The sequence below is a fragment of the Homo sapiens genome, chromosome 3 (assembly GCF_000001405.40).
Source record: "Homo sapiens chromosome 3, GRCh38.p14 Primary Assembly".
NCBI lineage: Eukaryota > Metazoa > Chordata > Mammalia > Primates > Hominidae > Homo > Homo sapiens.
In genome coordinates, this window is record NC_000003.12 from 71771321 (window position 1) to 71795033 (window position 23713).

The following is a 23713-nucleotide window of genomic DNA, read 5'->3' on the forward strand; positions in this document are numbered from 1 at the left end:
ATCACTGTGTGGTAGCACCTAGCACCCTGCCTAACCACTCGCGACACACACTCCCATCACTCTTTGCCAAGTCAATACACTTAAGCCCCATCAGTCCATTCCTGATTACAATCAGTTTTGCACAGCATCATTTTCCTTCACACTCCAAAACCTCACTGATTTATGCATCGTTTATTTTTTGAACTACCTTAAAATCCATGCAAACACAACTCTGCTGTATGTAAAATGAAAATGCACATATCTTTGGGGCTATTTTACCAACCTTGGGGTCTTTATCCATGTTGGGACGTAGCCTATTTAGAAATTTGCTTATAATAAAAACTGACAACAACCGTGACAAAAATAAGGATATAATATTAAAATAAATCAAATGATATACAGTACTGTTATTATTCTGATACAGAATTTTTACACAGCAATACTGATACAGGTACAAACGGCAATCCATTACAATCGACCTTTCAGTTACAAACAAGGTTTAAATTACAACTTAATACTGCTTTAAAAATGGTAATTAGTGTTGTGCCAGATTAAAATAAATACTTCCTCTTCAAGTGACATTTTCTAGAATATCTCTAAGTAGGAGACTAAGGAAAAAAAACTTTATAAAAAGTAAAAGAAGTAAATGTAATCTTTTATTTTTAGAAAAACCCAAACCTAGAAATCTGGACTAAATTAATTTGGCTTTCCATTCCTTCTGTCCACACACCAGCCCAACAGCAGAGCTGAAGTCCTCTTGAGTGACAGGTTTAGGAAGGGTCCAGCAGCACTCCTAGCTTCCGTGCCATGACAGGAGTTTGGAGTGTCAAGTTCACATATACACTCTTTTCACTATTTAAATGCCAGCAAAAAGCTGGATTCCCATCAGTGATTCTGCCATCAAACTCAAAGAGACAAACCCTCCACTTTAAAATGCAAGAGGAGGGAAGAGAAATGGACAAAAATAAAGTAAGGTAAGAGCCTTGAAATTCTTTGAGGTGGAAGAGGCAAGGGACCAAAAGCTGTAGGTGTATTTGTGTGGCAGGGCACAAATGGGGCTTGGGGTGGTGAGAAAAAAAAAAAAAAGTTTTTCTAACAAAATATCAAATTCTTATTTTCCTCATTTTTGTGAAAATGGGTACGTTTTTGACATTTAAGAAAAAAGCCAAATCAAACCAAAACACAAACAGGGAAATAAGAACCAGTTCCATAATGCCTTACACTTCATATTTCTATCCAAAAGTAAAATTCTCTTTCGATAAAAAAAAAAAAAAATCATTTACAAATCAAAGATAAAAATGTTACTTGGAAAGTTGAGGAAGCAAGAGCATTTCTTTCTGGCACATTTTTTGTTTGGCACAATCACAAGTAAGACTTTACAGGTAAGATGTGGCTATTCACATTTGGTTTCTACTCCAGAGCGATTACTTTTGGGCTAAACAAATAAATCGGTTAAATGAAGTCCGTAAACAGGCCAAGCCTGGCAGACATGGGCAAGTGTGATGCATCCTCCGCCCAAAAAATGGAACCTAAATAAAAAAGAAAACGGAGTCAGAGCTGGAAAGGTTTCAAAAACAAACAAACCAAATCATTCTTGAGATAGCTCTTTAAATAACAATAACTAGTGTTTACTGAGCGTTAACTACCCATTAGGCAATATGCTCAGTACTTTTTATTTATTTATTATTTACTGTTTTTGAGACAGAGTCTTGCTCTGTCGTCCAGGCTGGAGTGCAGTGGCACAATTTTGGCTCACTGCAACCTCCACCTCCCGTGTTCAAGCGATTCTTCTGCCTCGGGCTCCCGAGTAGCTGGGACTACAGGTGCATGCCACCACGCCCAACTAACTTTTGCAGTTTTAGTAGAAACAGGGTTTCACCTTGTTGGCCAGGCGGGTCTCGAACTACCAACCTCAAGCGATCTGCCTGCCTCAGCCTCTCAAACTGCTGGGATTACATATGTGAGTTACCATACCCGGCCTGCTCAGTACTTTTTATATGTTATCCTTTCCCATTCTTACAAACACCTTGTAAAGATGGCAAGCACTTTAATTGTACCCATTTTACCGATGAGAGAATGAGGCAAAGAGAGACTGGTATATTGGCCAAGGTCACTTATGTAAAACTTGAAGCTTGGCTAGCAGTGAGTGGGCCCGAGAGACCAAGCTTTTAGTCCTCAAGCTGTACGGCCTTTTACTTTTTCTCATTTATTTCTTTTTATGGTATCCTATCATTGAAGCTCCTTGAGCTTGAACCTGGTATCATGGGCATGACCATGTCTATGCAATCAGCAAATATAAACTCACCATCAATGAGCAATATATTAATTCATACATTTGCACACAGATGCCAGGAGTCAAAATGCTGGGAAAAAACTTTAAAAGGAACAGAGGAAAATCAGAGAAGAAGGCAAGCTCAATTTGCATAAATGGAAATTGAGTAGCAGTGAAAGGTCTGCTTCATTCGAGAGTCACTCTAAGAGCCCAGCCCATTTCACCAGCCAAGCTGGGTTGAGGAGGGTCAACCGACAGCGAGCATGGTGGTTGTCTGTGCCAGTGGCAAATGGTATACACACCAAATATGTATGCTTTCTAGAATAAAGATAGCAAATGTTATTTTCCCTCCCCTAAGCAATAGCACCTTCCTGAGAATCTGCCTGTCTTACAAGTTATACGGAGAAAGTTTAATCCCAGGCCTGGAGCGTCTGTGAAATCAGATGGCAAGTGACTCTGACTCAGGCTAAAGTGAGTGAGACGAGTGACTACAGACTCATGTCTCAGAGATGTTTCCAGAGTTTAAGCATGGCAGAGGATGTGTTCTTCCTGCTTCCAAACTCAAATTCAACATCATTCTAGTGTATTTCTTATTCTGTTCCACCAAAAGAGGCCACCCCACATCAATGATCTGTCCTTATGAGAAAATCTGAAATGCATCTTTTAGATGCCTTCCAGATAAATTTCTTTGTATATATCATATAGATATCAATACAGATTATCAAAGCTGTCTACAGATAGTGGCAGAACCATTCTAATCTTATGTTGGGGCTGAACTGATAGGACAGACCCAACTCTATGGTAGTCCAACAATGTAAAGGCTAATTCTTCTGGGCATGTCTTTCGGTGGTACCACATTCGCATTCTTCTTACCTCCTTTTTCCTTTTGCTTCTCTTCCTCTTTCTTCTTTCCTGCCTTCCATTTCCAAAATTGTTCTGGAAGGGCCAGGGAGACGATTGAGATCAATAAATACAAAGGGAAGAAAAAGAGGCAATGGGAGGGCAGGGTATGCATGTAGTGAACTGGCGGAGCAAGATACAGCCAAGCCATCCCAGTTCCTCTGTCCTTTTGCTATGTCATGACTTCCCAGGTTCTAATGACAGCATCTACATGCAGTCATGTTCACCACTGGATTAATAGAGACTTGTGCTCAGAATGGTTCTGTCACTGTGTGTCAAAGGGAACACTGAGAGCCGGCTCTTTTGCTGCCACCAAGAACACATCAGAGGAGGTGAGTACAGCTAGACTGGCTTAGACAGTTATAAGTGGATAGCATGAGAAGTGATCATCAACGACCTTTATAGCCCATTCTGACCCTGAGACCATAAGTTTCCTTTCTGCCAAGCCTAAAACTGCTGCATGGGCCAGTGATTCTCCACTAGGGACGATTGTGTCCCCAGGGGACATTTGGCAATGTCTGCAAATGTCTTCATTTGTCACAACTAAGGGCAGGGAGGGGGATGCTCTAGGCGTCTAGTGGGTAGAGGCCAAGGATGCTGCTAAACATTTTACAATGCACAGGACAACCCCTACGACAAAGAATTATCTGGCCCAAGACATCAATAGTGCTGAGGTTGAGAAAAACAAACACAGATAGCAATATCCAAGTAAAAGGAGCCTGAAGTGTGTCAGTGAAATACACCTATAATGAGCATGTTAAACTGTTACAAACAGAGATCACCAAATATGTTTCTTTCATTCACTCATTCAACAGATACTGAGTGCTACCTACATACCAGGCCCTATCTTAAGTGCCGAGCATACAATGATGAGCAACACAGGTGAGGCTGTGCATCGTGGAGCTTCCCTCTTGATCATACAAGACAGAACACCAGTAAAATTGTTTCAGCTGCTGGTGCTCACAGCCTTGTGCTTTCTGCATCATGACACTATGATCATTCTCTGGCCTGTCACATGGGGTGGGCAGTACCTTGGGCCCAGCAGAAAAGAAAAATCACATGGATTGTGCGCCATGGGTCAGGTCTCAGAAGGCATCATGTATGAATGTCATCCCAAACCTCAGCACCAGATTTTTGCTTTGTCTGAGATAGAGGTAAGTGGCTTCCTTTTGAGGTGAAGCAAAGGTCCTGGACTGAGGTTACTCAGCTAGGAGGGGAAAGTGCTCATAGTCAAACAGGGTCCTGCTTTCTTCCAGATTTTGCTCTCTTCTCAAACACCACCAAGCCCAGACTCCAGACTCTCTAAAGGGGGGACCATATCCATTTTACTCATGAGCATATAGCTCTTAGCCTGGTACACAGAAAACACTCAGGAGATATTTGCTATGTGCCAATCAAATGCCCTGCAATGCCCCACAGAGTCTAGGAACTCCCCGAAGGGCAGAAGATGACCAACTCAGATCCCAAGGCTCCCCTCACTGCCCTGCCCAGCTCCGAGCAGGCAAAACGTAACTCACACCACCAAACTCAGAGATGGACTCACCATGAAGCCCAAGAGGCCGAAGCCCCTCTCATGTATAGGCCTCTAATCCAGGACCTAGGAGGGACCCTGGTAGTGTGTTCACAAGGTCATCTGTTTTTGTGAAACTTAAAAAAAATCTTTGTATTATTTCTTTAAATCAAGGACACCAAGACTGTATGAACATCAATCTGGATCTGCCTTGACTGACCCTAACATAATGATTACACTGAACTGCAGGGTCCTTAATACTTAGGTGCTTTTTTCTCATTCAAACCCAGTTCACTCAGTTCTGTGAGCTCCTAACGACAAAAACCATGATTCCTTTTCTCTTTCTTTTCTCTCTTCTTTTCTTTTTTTCTTTTCGCTTTTCATTTTTTTTTTTTTTTTTTTTTTTTTTGAGACAGAGTCTTGCTCTGTTGTTGTGCCCAGACTGGAGTGCAATGGCATGATCTCAGCTCACTGTAGCCTCAGCCTCCCAGGTTCAAGTGATGCTCCCACCTCAGCCTTCCACGTAGCTGGGACTACAGGCATGTGCCACCATGCCCAGCTAATTTTTGTATTTTTAGTCGAGACAGGGTTTTGCCATGTTGCCCAGGCTGGTCTTGAACTCCTGGCCTCGAGTGATCTGCCCATCTTGGCCTCCCAAAGTGTTGGGATTACAGACGTGAGTCACTGTGCCTGGCCAAAAACCATGATTTCTGATATTATACACTCGGTAGATGCTTGTCCGTTTCTTGACTGGCCCACTCACTTCTAGATCTACAGATACTGTGTGACAAAGCTAACAGGCGTCTCATAATCACAAATGCAAGAGAAAGTGCTTACAGAAGATGCACACTGGAACCACTTAGTCCAAACTTCATGGTTTACTTTAGAATCAACCAACACTTAATGCAAAGTTTCCAATAGCCTAGAATTCCAAACAGCAAATTCTAGAAGTTACCGAGGCAGAACATCCAGCACTTTGAGAAAGCATGACTTTTACTCTTTTGCAGCACTTTTAAAGAGAAATTAGCACTTATAAAAGGGCAACATGAGGGATCCTTATAGTGATGGAAATGTTTTGTGTCTTAACTGTATCAACGTCAATATCCTGCTTGGAATATTGTACTATAGTTTTGCAAGATGTCACCATTGGGAGAAACTGGGCAAAGCGCATATAGTACCAAAGTTGAGAAACCTGTATTAGACTAAAGCCTATTTCTGTCTTGTAAGTCTTTTTGCTGAACTGAACCTATAAACACTGCTATGATGCTATCCCAAGAAATAATCATAGACAGTAGCTCTTGACATTGTGATAGGAAAGATGAGAAAATCAGCATATTATGCTTTCTTCCCCATCTTTTGCTAAATTTCTAGTTGCATTAGTTATATTTTAGTATTTTAAAATTTTTTTACTTTAAAAAATATGTAAAAATTTTAATGACTTCATATTCTGAAATTATGTTTACAATGTTTCCTCATAGGTTGGTTCTAAAGTAGAAACCACTAATAATTTTTTAAATATCAAGTTAAAAAAATAAAACAAGTACCAGGTTTTTATTTGAATTTTTTTCCTTCAGAAAAGGAAGGAAAGTGAAGTTTTTAAAAAAACCTGGTGCTAAAAATGTTCACATAAAAAGCGCAGGAAAATTTAAAAACAAGATTGTTTGAAGGAAACATAGTTGTTTAAACTGAAAAAATTCAGAATACAATAAGCAATAAAGATTAAAGTATTAATCACATAATTATTGAATACTAAAAAGTGTTCAAAGCTTTCAAAGCTAAACATTAGTCAAAATGGGAAGGAAATGGCTAATCTTCTATGTAAACTTTGGAAAGTTACCGGCATTAATAGAAACCTTGTTGTTTTGTCTTTTTTTTTTTTTAAACAGAAAGTTTCTTCTAAAGGCATGATTCAGTTAAGTCATTCTTAAGTGTTAAAAAATTGTGAAAAATGTGCCTGTAATCCCAACACTTTGGGAGGCCGAGGCAGGCAGATCACGAGGTCAGGAGATCAAGACCATCCTGGCTAACAAGGTGAAACCCCGTCTCTACGAAAAATACCAAAAACATTAGCCGGGCGTGGTTGTGGGCGCCTGTAGTCCCAGCTACTTGAGAGGCTGAGGCAGGAGAATGGCGTGAACCCGGGAGGCGGAGCTTGCAGTGAGCCGAGATCACACCACTGCACTCCAGCCTGGGTGACAAAGCGAGACTCTGTCTCAAAAAAATAAATAAATAAAATAAAATAAAATAAAATAAAAAATTTGAGAAAAATGAATACCTGTTAAAACTATTATTTGCTTTAAAATGTATTTAGAAAATATGCATACTATGCTTCCTAGGTGAACTCATATATCTCACATATTTTATTCTATCTTAAAATTATCAAACATAAAGTTCAAAACTATACAATTATAAAACAATAGCCTGTCAGGGACTGTAAACTGTACAAGTTAATTGGTACATGTTAAATAAAACAGCAAACTGAACTCGGTAGCTATAAACTCCTATCTATGGTTCTCAGTTTCAGTCATCAAATACTGTTCACTTGACCCAAATAAACGGATTTTCGGTGGCTAATGACTAAGCTGAAACAAAATGAAAAAAAAAATTCTATATAGGGTCTACATTTTTACTATCTACTAATGAGTCATTAAACTTCAGAGCATAATTGAATACTGTACATAATGTTCATCAGTATGTATTGAGGAAAGACTTTTTTCTTGAGTTGTTTTGAACAGACCATACAGCTGAGAGATATTCTGGAAGAAACTAGATCTTTTTCTACAATAGGTAAATTTCATCTGGAACAAGTACAACTCTAGGATCTTCTCTTAAAATAGGTCATCAAAATAACCTTTGAAAATGTATTTGAAGATAAAAAAGCAACCAATATGAAAAGTTAGAAAATAAAATTCCAGAAATACATTTCAAGTGAACATCTGAAAACCATACTCTATTATTTAAAGATTTCATTATTGGATCCATGATAAAAACAGAACCAAAGAGATGTAGCCAGGCTTATGCAAGAAGACTGCATTTGTTTACTTTCAAAATTAATCTTGGACTAAACCTGAAATTGAAGTTATCTAGGAACTAGGGAAATAGAATTCGGTTCTCTTTTAAATATTGCAGAGGATTGGAACACTCATCAAAACTATCGGACGACACAAATTCCCATTCTGAACTGTTATCACTCATTCCAGTGATCATTTTGTCTCTGTTATCCAAACAAACCAGTTTTGGTTAATTGGACTACAAAGTGTTCAAATTAAACCCAACGACTGCTTTCGCGGAGGCAGAAGCGTGTAATGATTAAGACCACATAAACAACAGAGTGTCACAAAGAATGAAGTTGAGTGTCTCTTGTTTACTCACAGCCTGTGTTGCTGAACCCCTCTGGGGCTTAATGTTGTATACAGGCTTGCTGTATTAAGTAAGAAGTACATATACAACATTTAATATAGAGGATCTGGTACATCACAGTATTTAACAAGGTGCAATTATGATTGTTATTAACACAAACATAGTTCCATGGGATATGTCACTTTTCCCTTGTTTCAGTAAACAGGCTATGTGATTCTAGCATCTAGGGCATGTGAAGCTGTACTAATACTGCATGAAAACAACACAATTTTTCTTTTTCCAGACAGAGTCTTGCTCTGTCACCCAGGCTGGAGTATAGTGGCAAGATCACGCTCACTGCAGCCTGAAACTCCTGGATTCTACTGATCCCCTCCCCCACCTCAGCCTTCCTGGTAATTAGGACTACAGGTGTGTGCCACCATGCCCAGCTAATTTTTAAAAATTTTTCTATAGAGACGGGGTCTCACTATGTTGCCCAGGCTGGTCTCAAATTCCTGGGCTCAAGCAAACTGCCTGCCTCAGACTCCCAAATTGCTGGGATTACAGTGTGAGCCACTATGCCCAGCCAAAAACAACGTAATTCTTAAAGGAGAAAGTTAAGAGTAAATGTTTCAGAGACAATGACTTAAGTGTACAAAAGATAACTCATAATTCAATAAGGGTGTTGAAAATAACGAGAGAAATGCTAAAGGCAGCTGGGCCAGCGGCCCCTCTTCTAGGGAAGTTTGGCATTGAGACACACAAGTAACGGTTTAAACCTCTTCTGTCCAAGAAAAAACAATGCATGTCATGTTTTTAAATGACATTGCAGTCTTGCATGGTAAAACCACAGGAGGGATGGTTTAAATGTAACAGGAAGCATTTCACAAGGCAACCACAGGAAAGCCAAAAGCAAATTCAGTCTTTAGATAGGCCCAAAACAACTGGAATCCACATTATAGCTTGCAGAGTTAAACCTGGGCCAAGGGGCCACAATTTATTTCATTCTGTTCACTCCGAGGAGGTGAAAATATTAACTGTTCTCTGGGACTGTGGAGTATGGGAATGATGTTTGGCTGTGTTACATTTTTAAACCCTAAATCACATGTGAAAAAATAAGACAGAAAATGGAATTTGGTTTGCTCTGATAACATTCTACTTGTATCTAAAAGAAAGTATACAATGTGTAGAAAGAACATTCTAAAGAGACTGAGCTCTGCCTCTCGAAAACCACCTGCCCTAGGACTTGTTGCAACGCCACTGGAGGCACTTTACCAATGGGAAAAATGCGGAGGTGGGACCAGAGGAAGGCAATGCAACCTGGCATTCCTGGGGTGCTCTGTTGAGACCACACTGTGTTTCAAAGGTTTTCAACCAGAAGGCCAAGAACCTCCAGCTCCACATGCCTTCTGCCTCCCACCCACCCGCTTCCTCATGTAATATAAACCTTCCTGACCCCTGTAGACAGGTGGGTCTGCAACCCTTGGAGATACAATCTCTCAAACCCTGTCCAATCCTGCCACCCTATGATCATGCCACTACTGTTAATAACTTTTCAAAAGTGTTATTTAGGTCACTGTGATATTGAGCTGACAGATAATAAAGCAAATTGGAAAATTAAATATCATCGATCTCTAAAATTTTGAAAAATGTGTCCTGTAGGTAGAGTCAAAATATAGAATATTTAAACTAACATACAAGAGTAATTGTATAATCGATTTTCTAAAAAATCCCAAAACACAGAGCTTCCTTACTTCTGCCTTATCAGTAGATCTAATATTAAAAGCAGTCTTTTTAAGAACTTCTATACTCAGATTTCTGCAAAGATGCATACTAGAGTATAATATATATTTTTGTTCTAAATAACTTTTAAGCAAATTCATGTGTTGCAAATTATATTGGTAAAATGCTTCTAACACCATGAGAGCAGTAACATGAAAACTATCACTGGAATAAGAAAGACAGAGGATACAATTCTTTGAAATGAAAGGGGAGAGGAGAGGGGGTAGTTTTACACTGTTATCCTTGCTAATGTCCAATATTCATTTTGTTTGTCGAGCACGTTACCCAGTCCTTCATGTCATACAGACCCTGCTCAGAGTTACCACAGTAGAACCACCATGAATACAAATATATATATACTAACTTTACGAGTCAGTGGATGGCAGCTGTCTCCCAGTTTGCCCATAGGTGTGCAAATCCTTATGCTCTTGACCCAGATACTGACAGCACAGCACATGCCTCCACCACATTGGGAGTCCTTGTCACAAGCCTGAAATGTAATAAACAAACAGATAAATATAGATAACAGGAAAGACTCAGGCTAAGGAAACCTAAAATTAGCAGTGAAATGCCCTTTAAATATCTAAACACTTGGACTTTAATAATCAGGTATATTTTTTAAATGATAACCTTCATTTACTTGTATATAGCTATTATAAAATCTGATCAGAATAGCTATTTCTCATTTTTCGAAAGTGGGCTAAATTCTAGCCCCTGGATTATGAAAATCTTAAATAAACATAAGATTTTTTTTTAAATGAAATCAGCTCTCTTTTTCCAGTGCTTTATGGCTGAATTGGCTTTGAACTTGAAGAACAAGACTATATTACTCTTATACTACACATGGCCATTAGGAACTACATAAATGGAATCACAAGATTTTGTGACTATTAACTGCAGAATACACTGGGGCCAATTTAAAAAAAGAGATTTAAATAGTCTCTAAATCTGGCATGAAACACTCCAGACCCATAAAGGCACTGATGTAAATTTCAGAAGTGCTCATTTTCCCCTTCAAATATTTGCATTTTGGTTCAAGAGACTTGACGTTTCTCACACCACTGACTTGCTTTTTCACCATTTTCTCTTTAAAGAAGTCTCATAGTTTGAAAGTGGACAGACCAAGATGCTTGCCTTATGTTACTCTTCCTTCAGGTGAATAAGCTGCAAAGAGCAAATTACTGGCTTAGCATAAACATATATGTACATTACAAAATCAGCTAACAATCCTGTAAGATCCATCAAATTAAGAAATGCAAGTAACAGGTGCAATTGTCAATAGTAATTACTCAAGTCACCTGCTTTCAATATAAAAGTTGTAAATACATACAATGAAACAATCAACTATGGAGGAATTTCCATACTCTAGTAAATAGAAATAAATAATAAAATCTAAATCTATTTGCATGAAAATGGATCTGAAGAACTATTATTCTTTCCTAGAACCAACAAAAAATAGAATGCTTTGTTTGAACCGTGGGCAGTAATCTGTTTTGGTAGTGATAAGATAAAAACATCCTGTACTATATATGTAAGAAACTAAAACCTCTATCATCTAGGCACAAATTTAAATGTACAATTAGTGGAAACAACTAAAACAGTCCTTCAAAATTCTTAGTTTTGAGGACAGTCATAACTTCTCAAGATATAAAAATATGGGTACATTCTTAACATTATTTCTCATTAAAAGTAACCAACTATTTTGCTTTAAAGTTCATTTACTTCCCTCATTAGAATTTATTTCTCAGTCTATTTAAACAAAGTATCTGGATAAAAGCTAAAAATTTCACCTTGAGGTGTTTGGATTTTATAGGACAATATGTAAATGTTTCAATTTTCCAATTTTTATCTGCATGCCAGAAATCATGTATATGTAGCCATTACATCCCATAAATAAGATGTCTAGTCAATGATCTTTTACAATATAGTTTTAACAAATCTATGTGGGCATATAAATCAATTTCAAAATACCTACATACACTACCCAAAAAACTGTGGATGTCAGGTGAAAGTTTTAGCCAGCATTTTATTTCAACAGATGCTCAATACCTCGAATTTTGAGGCCCCATGAGCTTTTTTTTATGAACCAATCAAAAATCCAGCCAAAATCTTTTAAAATTCAATCACCTGGATGTTTAACATGCTATACACAATGTATCTTGATAAGTTACTGAGTTTTTCATTTGAATCCAGATGGTTCCTGTCATGGAGACATAACTACATTTTATTGCCCTGTTGCTTTAGAGACATTTTTAAAATTCTCTTTTTGTAACACTGAGTTAAAATAACAACAACAAAAACAGCACACATAACTATATAATAAGCCCAGTCTAAGCCTCTCTAACAGATAGACAGCCAATGTGATAAAATTTTATTTTGTAACAAAAGCTTCAGTTCTTGGAAAATTTACAAAGAGTTGCATAGGTTTATATATTTTTAATTAGACAGCTGTTTCCTAATGCCCTTCATCCTTAACCCATTGCAAATCTATTCAGATAGTGTTGTCCTGTGAATGGAACAAAAAGATACTTATATTGCAAAGGGATCTTGGGCTCAGAGGATTAGGAGAAACTTTAAATGAGCCAGCAGGAGAAGAGGGAGAAAAAAATCCAATCATGTTTCAATTCTCATGTATTAGAAAGACCTGCAAAAAGTTTTTCTCAACCACATGGACTGGCAAAGCTATGCAAGTAATTTTTTGAAAAAATCTCTTTTCTAATAAATATCACAGAGCTTACAGTTAAATATCTGTTGGATATATACAAATGCTGTCATAGCAAAAGGACTTTCAAAATTCTATAAACCTAATAACTAATATAGAGAAAATAGAGCTTGATTTTTTCAAGACAAAGATACTTCCTTTAAAGTCAAATGATATTATCTATGTATCAACATTTCAAACATAGACGTTTTATTTAAATCCCATTATGTGCACTTAAATATTTGAAGTAATTTAATGAAGGTGTGAAATAATTCCTCACTTAAAAAACAGTAAAGAAGTTGAACAACCAGGAAATGATAGCAGTTTTGCCTTGTTAATGTAAACTAGACTATTTAGTATTGTACTGCAAACCCAATTTTTTCAGATCCACACAAAATTGTTGAGAGTGGGAGAGAACTGAACTAGTTCCTACTTACAGAAAAGATGAAAACATCGTCTCTAAGTTTAAACATCTACACAGCAACCTACTCCATCATTATGCTGGAGCACTGGAGGTGCTTTGCCAGGAATTAGAAATTTAAAACTTTTATGGGGATACCTCAAGACCCTGAGCGCGGGGGAAAGCCCCGGAACCCAGAAGGAAGCTCCCACAATTGCTTTTCAAAGCGCTCACATGGCCCTGGACCAAGCGATTTCAAAGGGTTTCTGCGGAGGACGCATCGGGGAGCAAACTCTTTGACTGTAGGATTAAGACTCTGGGCACTTGGGGAATTCGTCTTGGTCCTTTGCATTTCAGGAAGGGGCCGTCAAATTTTAAGGTTCGAGGTTGGAGAGCCTCCAAAAGTACTTGAGAAGACTCAGAGAGAAACTTCTTTCAGCCTAACAGAAGAAAAATGCGAGGAGTGAGGCCGTGGGTGATGAGGGAGAAGTAAGCGGGAGAAGGTGGTAATAAAGGTGGTGGGCGACATCCTTGTCACTGTTTCTTCCAGGACGCGCCCAGTGTCCCCAGCCGTCTGCTGCTTTTGGATCTGGGTATTTTCCCAAGTGCACCAAGGGGCGACAGGGGCAGGTGTCCCCGCCCAGGGCGACCCTCCCTTTGCCTCTAGCCTGCCCTTCAGGGTCCCCGTCCCAAGCCCCCTGGGCACATCCCAGGCGCGCATCAGGGGCAGACAGGTGCGCCCGGGCCGCTTACCCCGGTGATCACGGCGGCGTCCCCAGCGCGGGGCGTGAGCAGCAGCGGCGGCAGCAGCAAGAGGAGCAGGAGTGGGGCGCAGCACAGGCTCCTCATGGCGCCCTCGGGACTGGGCGGCCGCCGGAGGCAGTTGGGGGCGCGGGGCCCGGGTGCGCTGGGTGGAGCGCGGAGCGGCGGGCGGACGGGCGCGGCGGCTCCCGCGAGCCTCCGGGCCGTTATAAAGGCTAGCCCCGCCGTGACTCACGCCGGCGCCCGCCCGGCAGCACACGCGGGGGGCACGGCGCGGGCACACACCCCACGCCCCACGCGCACACGCGCGCCCGCCTCGGCCCGGCCGGCTCCCAGACGAGCACGTGCTATGCGCGGCCCCCCGCGCCCCCGCCTCGGGCGCCACGCAGGCAGCGCTCCCGGCGGGGCGCCCCGCTCTGCGCCGTTCCCTCCGCCGTCGCCCAGCCACCGCCTTTCGCACGCGCCGGAACCGCTTTTGTGGTCTCCGAGACACTCATTTGCTGTCCTGGTTTCCAAAGCTCCACGTGCTCAGCGCCGAAAACTTGCAAATCATTTGCTGTACAGATGTTTAGGGGTCGCCTACTACGTGCGGGGCGCTGTGGACACATAGGGGGCGGGGGGTGGGTGAGGGGGACACAGCAGCCCCTGAATCCATTCGTTTGTTCAGCAGGTCTATACTGGGCGCCCGCTGCGTGCCAGGTACTGCCACCGGCTCTCTCCTCACGGTGGAATAACTTAACAGAGAAGACAGACATCAATCAAATACCCTGGAAACGTGGAAGGCAGGGGAAAGAACAAAGGGAGAGCAAAATCGCCCCAATCCCACATCACCCGCGACGTGAAAGGATTTGTCCTTCCAGCTGCGGGACTCCTATTTGTTTATTTCAAGTCAGAGGCCTTCCCTTTATGCCCACATCTGTTCCCGACCCTCTCCTCTGATTTTCCTCACATGTATTTCCTCCCCTCTTCAGCCCCGCGCCAGCTCCAGGCACAGCCGTTCAGGGTGATGCCAAAGGGAAATGAGAACGCCTGGTTTCGAGTGCCAGCCTGAGGCCCCTTAAGCCCTAGGTACGCAGCTCTCTCTTCTTTCTTAAACTTTCCAGCCCAGGAAAATCACCCTTCGGTTTTACAGATGCGATAGGGCGTTATTGTGATTCCTTCATTCACGTAAACATGAATTGAGTGTCTAGTGGGTTCCAGGCACACCAGGAAAGAATAAGTGACAGATTTGCCCTCCATCTCTCATCCTAGCCTGGCTCCAAAAACTGCAGCCTGTTTCCCTCAACAAAAATGACGTCAAGAATACCTAGATGTGACCACACCGAACTTGCTTGCCCGTTTTGGGAAACCCAACTTTCTTCCTGAATAGTCAGAACCTCTGGCTTTCCTGGTCTCTTAAGAACCGCAAACTATTGAAAAGCAGATGCGTCTTTCAGCCTCTTTAATAAATGCAGTAAGGAGAGTTGGGACAGAGTTACTTTCAGACTGTGGGGCTCCCCCGTGCCAAAGCATTCAGACGAAATGTGGGGGATAGCGGGGGGAAGGCAGGCAATTATCTGAATGTTAAACAGCTGAATATTTGGAAACCCCAATCTTTGGCTGATTTTTAAAAACCTTTTTCACACGTGTTCTCATGTTTAAAAAACGCCTTGAACAGAAAACACAAAAGGAGTCAAACCCTTTTTTCAACTTAAAAAAATGTTAAAATTGGACTCACAGTGGAGTAAGTAGAAACAGTAGCAAGTGACAGACTTGTGGAAAGTTTCCTTTTCCAGTCTCCATGCCAACGCTAGCTCGGGAATGCTGCCGGGTAAATGTAAAAACCAGTCAACATGGATTTTAACATTCCTATGACTTTCTTTTAATGGTCTATTTCATATTCGCTACTATTGAATGCCAGCTTGGGTATTCCCTGCTTCTTCAAGCATAGAAAATATGATATGTCTACACAGGAAAAATCAGATTTCAAAAGTGGCTGGCTTCTTACACAGCTGTTTGGAAAACAGTCCTCATAAGGCTGTTTTGAAACAAGTTTAAAAAAAAGAAATAAGTTTGGAAACACTTAAAAATAGGGTTGTTTAGTTTCATGTTCTTTTGGAAATTTTAATTGCTTTAATGCTTTAGGAGAGAAATGAAGGCTCTTGATATGTCATCTTTGTATCTGAGGCCAAGTTTGAAAAATGAAGTCTGACTTCAATTGTTATAAAGGGAAAAATGAAAAAAAAAAAGAGTTTGGATTAGTCCATTAAAAAAGGTAGTTGGGACAACTTAGCAACAATGACATAGAAATGAAACAGTAGTTTATTGATTCTTTTCTATTACTGTAACCTGTTGATATTGCCACATGATCACTTCTGCCCAGGCATAACTGTATTAGGTGAAATGAGCCTTGTGTGTGTAAAGTGTAGCCTACCATATTCCAGCAGACCATCAAGGCTCAGCTTAAACGAAAATGCAATCTAGGAGCGTCTATAGAACCCAATGTTTGTGAGACAGGCTGATCAGGATTGGAATCCTGTGTGACCACTGGGCAAGTTACACAACCTTTTGAAGCCTCTGTTTCCGGTCTTGTAAAATGGTTATAAAATACCAACCTCATGGGGTACAACCCCTATGGAATTTAATAATACCTGCAAAATGCTTATCACAGTGCCTGGAACAGACTGGGAGCTCTGTTAGGGTTACCTCTTATTAAGCCTTATTATTTGGTCTCCCCTGACAATTTCAGCCAATGCTGATATAAGTCTTTTCTGTCCTGCCCACTATATTAGATTGTACACTTTTCATGATTAGGATCCTTGTGTCTAATTTTCTATGCATCCCTCTTGGCACACAGCACGATAATAGGCATATGGCAGGCATTCAGTAAGTGACCAGCAACAGGAATATGTCCCATGAAGGACAGTCCAGAGACAGTTACGAGAAGATCATATACAGTACAGACTCATGTCATGTATATGAATCCGTTAAAGGTAGTCACCAAAAAGCAAGAGAGATGGAAGCTTTACCTGGTGCAGATGATTCAGCCTGTCTCTTTACTTGGGGGCCACGTGACTGAAATGAAGTGAGCTGGGAGACACAGGCCTGTCTCACGGCAGTCAATTTGGGACTCAGGCTGACTGATAAGGCTCCATTTCAACATGTGCTTCATGATTGCCAGTGTAGTGGCCTATACTGTGACCCCTAGCAAGTTATTTTCAAGGCCTAAGCCCTGGTACCTGTGGACGTGACCTTATTTGGAAATAGGGTTTTTGCAGACGTAATCAACTTAAGATGAGGTCATGCTATATTAGGGTGGGTTCTAAATTCAATGGCTGGTGTCTTCATAAGAGAAATGGGAGGGAGAGCTGGATACAGAGACACAGGCTAGACTCCCCCCACCCCACCCCCCCCACACACACGGGAGAACATCAAGTGAAGATGGGGGCAGAGATTGGAGCAATGCTTCTACAAGGCAAGGAACACCAAGGATTGCCAGCAGCCATCAGGATCTGAAAGAGCAAGGAAGGATTCTTCCCCAGATCCTTCACAGGGAGCACGGCCTTGTCAGCCCCTTGGTTTTGGACTTTTAGCCTCCAGAACCACGAAAGAATAAGTTTCTATTGTTTTAAGCCACCCAGTTGTGGTGATTTCATTATGGCAGACACAGGAAACTAACATAGTTGGGTGCAGCCAGAGGGTTGTACACCAGCTTTCTCTGCCTGGAATTCATGCCTGTCACTTTTGCTCACTTTTTAGTGACCAAAACAAGCCACATGACAATCTGTCTTCAAGGGGACAGACAGTGCAAGTCTGTCACTGGTTTCTGAAGACAACAAGGTATCAGGTGAGCAGTGCTATATTCTACAGGAAATGAATCATTCATGGCTTGGACTCCTTAATGAGCATAATGAACTTTGAATTATATTAGTAATTGCTATTATAAATAATAATGTGTAATTTCCTTTGTATTTTTTCTAGTACAGCATTCTTTATACCAGAATTATACAAAGACTCTGAAAGTGAGTAAATGTGTAAGCTAATATTTTCTTTTAGGTGGGTAGAAAACCATAATTTATTCATTCAACAGGTATTAACTAAGACTTACTATATTCCAGATATTGTGTGCAGCATTGGGGGTACGAGGGTGAGCAAAACAGACATGAACCCAGCCCCCTGGGAGCTTACCATCTCATGGGAAGATGCACATGAATCAAATAATCATACAACTTTATAATTACAGAAGATAAATTTAGGGTCACTATGAGAGAGCATATGAGGAAACCTGAAGCTTTCCTTACAGTTCTGGAATATGGGATGAGAGCTGAAGGTTATGCAGAATTTAACTGAGGTGAAGAATGAAACAGGGCTGGGTGCAGTGGCTCATGCCTGTAATCCCAACACTTTGGAACGCCGAGAGAGGAGGATCGCTTGAACCCAAGAGTTCCAGACCAGCCTGGACAAAACAGGGAGACCCTGTCTCTACAAAAAAATTTAAAAAATTAGCCGGGAGTGGTGACGGGCGACTGTAATCCCAGCTACCTGAAGAATCAAGGTGGGAGGATCACTTGAGCCTGGGAGGTCAAGGCTTCAGTGAGCTGTTATTGTACCACTGCACTCCAGCCTGGGTGATGGCGAGACCCTGTCTTAAAAAAAAAAAAAAAAAAAAAAAAAAAAAAAAGAATAAAACAGCAGACATGGAGGATGGCTGGGCATTCCAGACAGTGCAGACAAAAGGGTAGCTAATGTGGCCCAAGGAATGTGCCTAAAGCGAAGTCTGGAACAAATACGGAGCCAGAGGGATGGCAGGGATCCTTTGCAGGGTCTTATGTAGGCCACACTAAAGATCTTGGTCTTCATGGTTGGTCGGGGAAGGAGAAAAATCATAAGAATGGGGCAAGTGTGACATGAGCAGCTTTCATAAGGAAGACCTCCCTGCAGTGTGACTCAACCTGTCCACATCCCAACACCTTCTGGCAACCCCCAAACCCCTTTCACTGAAGGCAACTCTATCCTTCCAAAGATGACCCTGGAGTCATCTTTGACCCTTCTCATTCTCTCACACCTAAGACCCATCTGTCTGAAAATCTTGTTGCCTTTTGAAGGCAAATCTACTTTATATTATTATATTATATTATATTATATTATATTATTATTTATTATAATATAATTATATTTGTGATAATGTAATATTTTATATATAAATAAATACAAAATAAAATAAAACAGAATATATTTTAATAATAAACCCTCTGTCATGCTACCCTTCTTGTTCTGAGCCCCTGTCACCTCCAGCCTGGATTACTGTCACTGTCATTGCCTCAAGACTGGCCTCCCGGGTTCACCCTTGCCCTCTACATTCTATCATCAACACCTATTTTTTTTTAAAGTAAGTTAGACTCTTTGCTCTAAACCCTGCAGTAGTTTCTCGTTTCTCTCGCAGAGACCTTCAGATCTTTGACTTTGTTTACTACTCCTACCTCTTGTCTTCCTGCCAGCTCTGCTCCTGCCACACTGCCCCCCTGGAGGTTTCTAGAACACTCAGGGCATGCTCCCACTTTGGGAAATTTGTCCTGGATCTTCTCCTTGTCAGACTGCTCTTTCCCCAAATAGCCACATGGCAGACTCCCTTGTCACTTTCGAATGTTTGTTCAAATCTCACCTTTGCAAGGAGGCCTATCCTAACCACCCTTATTTACATTTGCAACTGCCCCAGCATGCCAGTTGCCTTTTAGTCCTTTTATATTTCACTTTTCCCTAGCACTAAGACCTTCTAGCATATTCTATTACATATTACGTTTTATCTTTGTTGCCTTACTGCCCCCACCTCCCCACACATACACCAGAATCTAAGCGCCACAGGATAAGGGATGTTCAGAAACTTTGTTCTGTTCACTAATTTATCTCCAGTACCTAGAAAGATGCCTGGCACATAGTAGGCACTTGATAAATATTTGTTGAACAAATTACAAAAAATATAGAGAAGAGATTGGAGAGTGGCTGAGAGCAGGCCTGATGAGAGGCCATGGCAGCGGTCCAGGTGGCCTCTGCTAACGGTGTTGGCAGCAAAGAGGGAGAGAGGTGAACCCACTCACTTAAAAAGTAGAACAGGTAGAGAGCTGGGCGTGATGGCTCACACCGGTAATCCCAGCACTTTGGGAGACCAAGGTGGGCAGATCACCTGAGGTCAGGAGTTGGAGACAAGCCTGGCCAACGTGGCAAAATCCTGCCTGTACTAAAATACAAAAATTAGCCAGGTGTGGTGGCTCATGCCTGTAATCCCATCTACTCAGGAGGCTGAGGCAGGAGAATCACTTGAACCTGGGAGGTTGCAGTAAGCTAAGATAGAGCCACTGCACTCCAGCCTGGGTGACAGAGCAAGACTCTTTCTAAAACAAACAAACAAACAAACAAACAAACAGCAAAAAAACCAAAGTAGAACAAGTAGAATTTACCATTGGTTAAGATAAAGGCTGGACAAGAAACGTCAAGATTCACCTTGTATAACTGATTGACAGTGCAGATGGATGCTGAGGTGTTGGCAACCTCTGGGTATGGGGAAAGGCAATCAGACAGACCCGGGGTACAGAGAAGATGGTGGCTAGAGCTAAAACTCAGGCAATTTTCCCCTTAAAATTTTCAGATTTCATATAATGTAGGCACAGTGGTAAGAATTTAGATCAGGGGCTGGCAAACTGAGACTTACTGCCTGTTCCTGTAAAGAAAGTTTGAGTGGGACCCAGCTACACTTGCCAATGTTTTGTCTAAGGCTGCCTTCACACCACAAGGGCTGAGTGGAGTATTTGCAAGAGAAACTATATGACCTGCAAAGTTGAAAATGTTTACTCTCTGGCCATTTACAGAAAGTTTGCTGACTCATGCATTAGATCATAAAGAGCCTAGAGTTTTATTATTGCCCCTCGAGTAAATTGTTTCCCACCTCCTTTTCCTAGGTCTGTTCTGGGCTGTCCTTTTGAGGCTCTCTCTGTTTACTGGTGGAATTCATCTGCTTTCTGAGTTGTGGGAATTTGCCCAAAGTTCTGGCTCACTGGTGGACCCCTTGCATGTTCACCTTGTTATGTGTACTTTCATCTCAATTGCCAGTTATATAGTAAGTGCTCAATAAATGTGTTGGTAGAATTGGGGAAAGGAAGCAAATGGGTCTTCCATCTGCCATCTTGCAATGAAAGCCTGACACAATCTCAGCTACATAAAGGAAGAGAACTTCTGTTACTCTTTTACATGAAGCTCTAGTTTTATTTTTAATTTTTTAAAAAAAATTTATTTATTTATTTTGAGACAAGGTCTTTCTCTGTCACTCAGGCTGGAGTGCAGTGGCATGACCACAGCTCACTGCAGCCTCTTCCTCCCAGGCTCAAGCTATCCACCCACCTCAGCCTCCCGAGTAGCTGGGACTACAGGTGCGCATCACCACATCTGGCTAATTTAAAAAAAAAAAATTATGGAGATGGGTGTGTTACCCAGGCTGGTCTTGAACTCCTGGGTTCAAGCAATCTCCCACCTTGGCCTCCCAAAGGGCTGGGATTACAGGTGTGAGCCACTGTGCCTGGCCTGCTCTGGTTTTAAAAATGATTCCAGCTTGTCTGAGGGCTTACTTTGTATGTACCTTCTTCGTATGACTTCTAATTATTTTCACATAATAGGTGGGTCTGGTAATTTCCTAGCTAGGTCCCATTTGTCTTTGTGTAAATGATTTTTCATTTAGAAGGGTTCCAAAAAAGTAAAATAGATATTCTTATTTTTTTCACCCTTCATCTTTTATCACTGTTCTATTACATGGTGGCTTTTCTTGTTAACAAACCCATAATATCAGTCTGAAATATCTTTTAAATATAATAACTATGCTTTAAATGTGACATGAAAAATGAATTGCTTTTATAATTCTAAATAAGACATCTATTTTAATCTTTTCAAAGCTGATGATTTCTCTTTATATTTAAAAATAAATCACCAAGATTCAATTTGAAAGCCAATTGTCTATGGAGGCACTAACAATTATTTGGTCTATTCAAGTGATAATGTAAAATAAAGTTTACCTATTTTTAAATAGTTGAAATATTAATTCAAGAGAAAGACTTTTTAAAAAAAAATTAGTATAAAATGCGTTTGAAATAATATGAGGGATCAGGATGAACATTTGGTTCTAAAAGATTTAGGTTTTATTCATTACAATGTTGACTGTATTTAATATCTATTTTTAGCATTGAAGGTGAGCCTTAAGGCTATGTATCATGTACTTCATTAAAAGGAAGAGATTGTTATGCAAATCGGTAGCATATTTGTTAACTTTCCAGAGAGAAAGTCTCATGCAGAAAATAACTTTCTTGGCCGGGTGCGGTGGCTCACACCTGTAATCCCAGCACTTTGGGAGGCCAAGGCGGGTGGATCACCTGAGGTTAGGAGTTTGAAACCAGCTCGGCCAACATGGTGAAGCCCTGTCTCTACTAAAAACAGAAGAAAATTAGCCGAGTGTGGTGGCAGGTGCCTGTAATCCCAGCTACTTGGGAGGCTGAGGTAGGAAAATCGCTTGAACCTGGGAGGCAAAGGTTGCAGTGAGTGGAGATCTTGCCACTGCACTCCAGCCTGGGCGACAGATGAGACTCTGTCCAAAAAAAAAAAAGAAAAGAATTTTCTTAAGAGGAAAAACCAGGGCTAGGTAATTACTTCTTTATTATTTTAGGTCAACATTTATTAGCTAGCCCACACAAATTTTATTTACTAATTTTTTTCTCCCCTAAATTTGAATTGTGTGTGTATATATATATGTATATATGTCTGTCTGTCTATCTATCTATCTATCTATCTATCTATCTATCTATCTATGTATCTATCTATCTATCTGTCTATATTTTTTTTTCCTGAGGGAAAGGACTTGGAAGAAATAATAAGACATCTGGGTATAGGAATTTATAGGCACAAACCAATTACAAAAATCTCCATTTCTAAATGTAAAGGCTGCCTCTTTCTATGCACTGCATATGGTAAGTACTCAATAAATCTCAATACATCTTATATAATACCTCCAGTTACCCTATGGGGTAGCTACCACCACAATTCCTATTTTACAAAGGGGGAAGTAAGATTTGCAGAGATTAACTGTGTCATACAGAATCACAGTAACTTCGAAATAGTAGAGCTGGGTTTCCACCCAGTTAGGTCTTATGCCAAATACTTAACTATTACAGCTTCTCCTTGAATTTATATGCTTTACTTAAATATTGCCATAAAAAATTTAGATAGCCAATAACCAAAAGGAAGAAACAATGACTATGATGTGAATTTTCCTCAAACTTATCTTAAAACCTGCCTGTTTCCCTCCCTCTCACCTCTTTCTCTCTGTTGCTTTCTCTCTCTTTCTTCTCTGTCTCTTTTTACAACTCAGAGATCAAGATTTAAAAACAAAATGGCAGAGAACAGGTACAATTCTACACATGTGACCTTTTGTCTGGAGGTATGTTTACCCTCAGAGGAATCCCCCGAAGAAGTTCAGAAGAGATACTATTTTTGTGAGTGGTAAGAAAGTGGGCCATCCGTGTTTCTGCTCTGCAGGTTCATTTGTCAGCGTTCTAAGTGGGGACTGGGTGCCTTTGCTCTCATAAGGTGAGTTGTCTATCAAAGGAATCCTCCCTGCTTTTTTAGGTGGCAAGATCAATTAGAGTGAGCCTAACACTGGAGACTGAGGACTCTAGTACAGCATCTGCCAGGGAGTGTGTCCTCTTAGAAAAATTGTGATTTTTTTATGATTAGATAGAGACCTCTTAGGAGCCATAATTTGTATTAGCACATTAAAGACCCCGAGAGGTTCTGCAAAAGGAAACTAGTTGTACCAACTTGGTACAACTCAGCATTTCCAAAATATTTGGTTACAGAGCACTTTTTGCATGTGCCAGGGATAAAAGGCTAGGCAAATCTCAATCCCTTATCTTGACCACATCCAAGCCTTAACAAAAAACCCACTCATGTAGAGGAATTTAGAGGAATTGGTTACATTTTGAATGTGTAGCCAATCTTGAATGAACTCATTAATCAAATACAGAAAATGATGGGATAATCTAATTCATCTAACTT

The 23713-nt window shown here is 40.7% G+C and overlaps 1 protein-coding gene and 1 long non-coding RNA gene across 4 annotated transcripts; one reads left to right on the forward strand and one right to left on the reverse strand.

The window, feature by feature from the left end:
* On the reverse strand, positions 335 to 13828 carry PROK2 (prokineticin 2). 2 transcript variants are annotated; one of them, NM_001126128.2, is made up of 4 exons: positions 13637 to 13828; positions 10147 to 10272; positions 3125 to 3187; positions 335 to 1508 (listed from the first exon to the last, which is right to left on the reverse strand). In NM_001126128.2, the coding sequence occupies exons 1-4, from the start codon at positions 13730 to 13732 to the stop codon at positions 1404 to 1406; spliced, it is 390 nt and encodes a 129-aa protein (NP_001119600.1). In that variant the 5' UTR covers positions 13733 to 13828; the 3' UTR covers positions 335 to 1403. The 2 variants fall into 2 exon arrangements, with proteins under 2 accessions (NP_001119600.1, NP_068754.1); NM_021935.4 differs by lacking the exon at positions 3125 to 3187.
* LOC105377156 (uncharacterized) lies at positions 14070 to 15107 on the forward strand. Of its 2 annotated transcripts, none has more exons than NR_199160.1 (4): positions 14070 to 14203; positions 14316 to 14533; positions 14617 to 14713; positions 14897 to 15107. It is a non-coding gene; the product is annotated as an uncharacterized LOC105377156 (long non-coding RNA). The 2 variants fall into 2 exon arrangements; NR_199161.1 differs by having other exon boundaries at positions 14316 to 14427.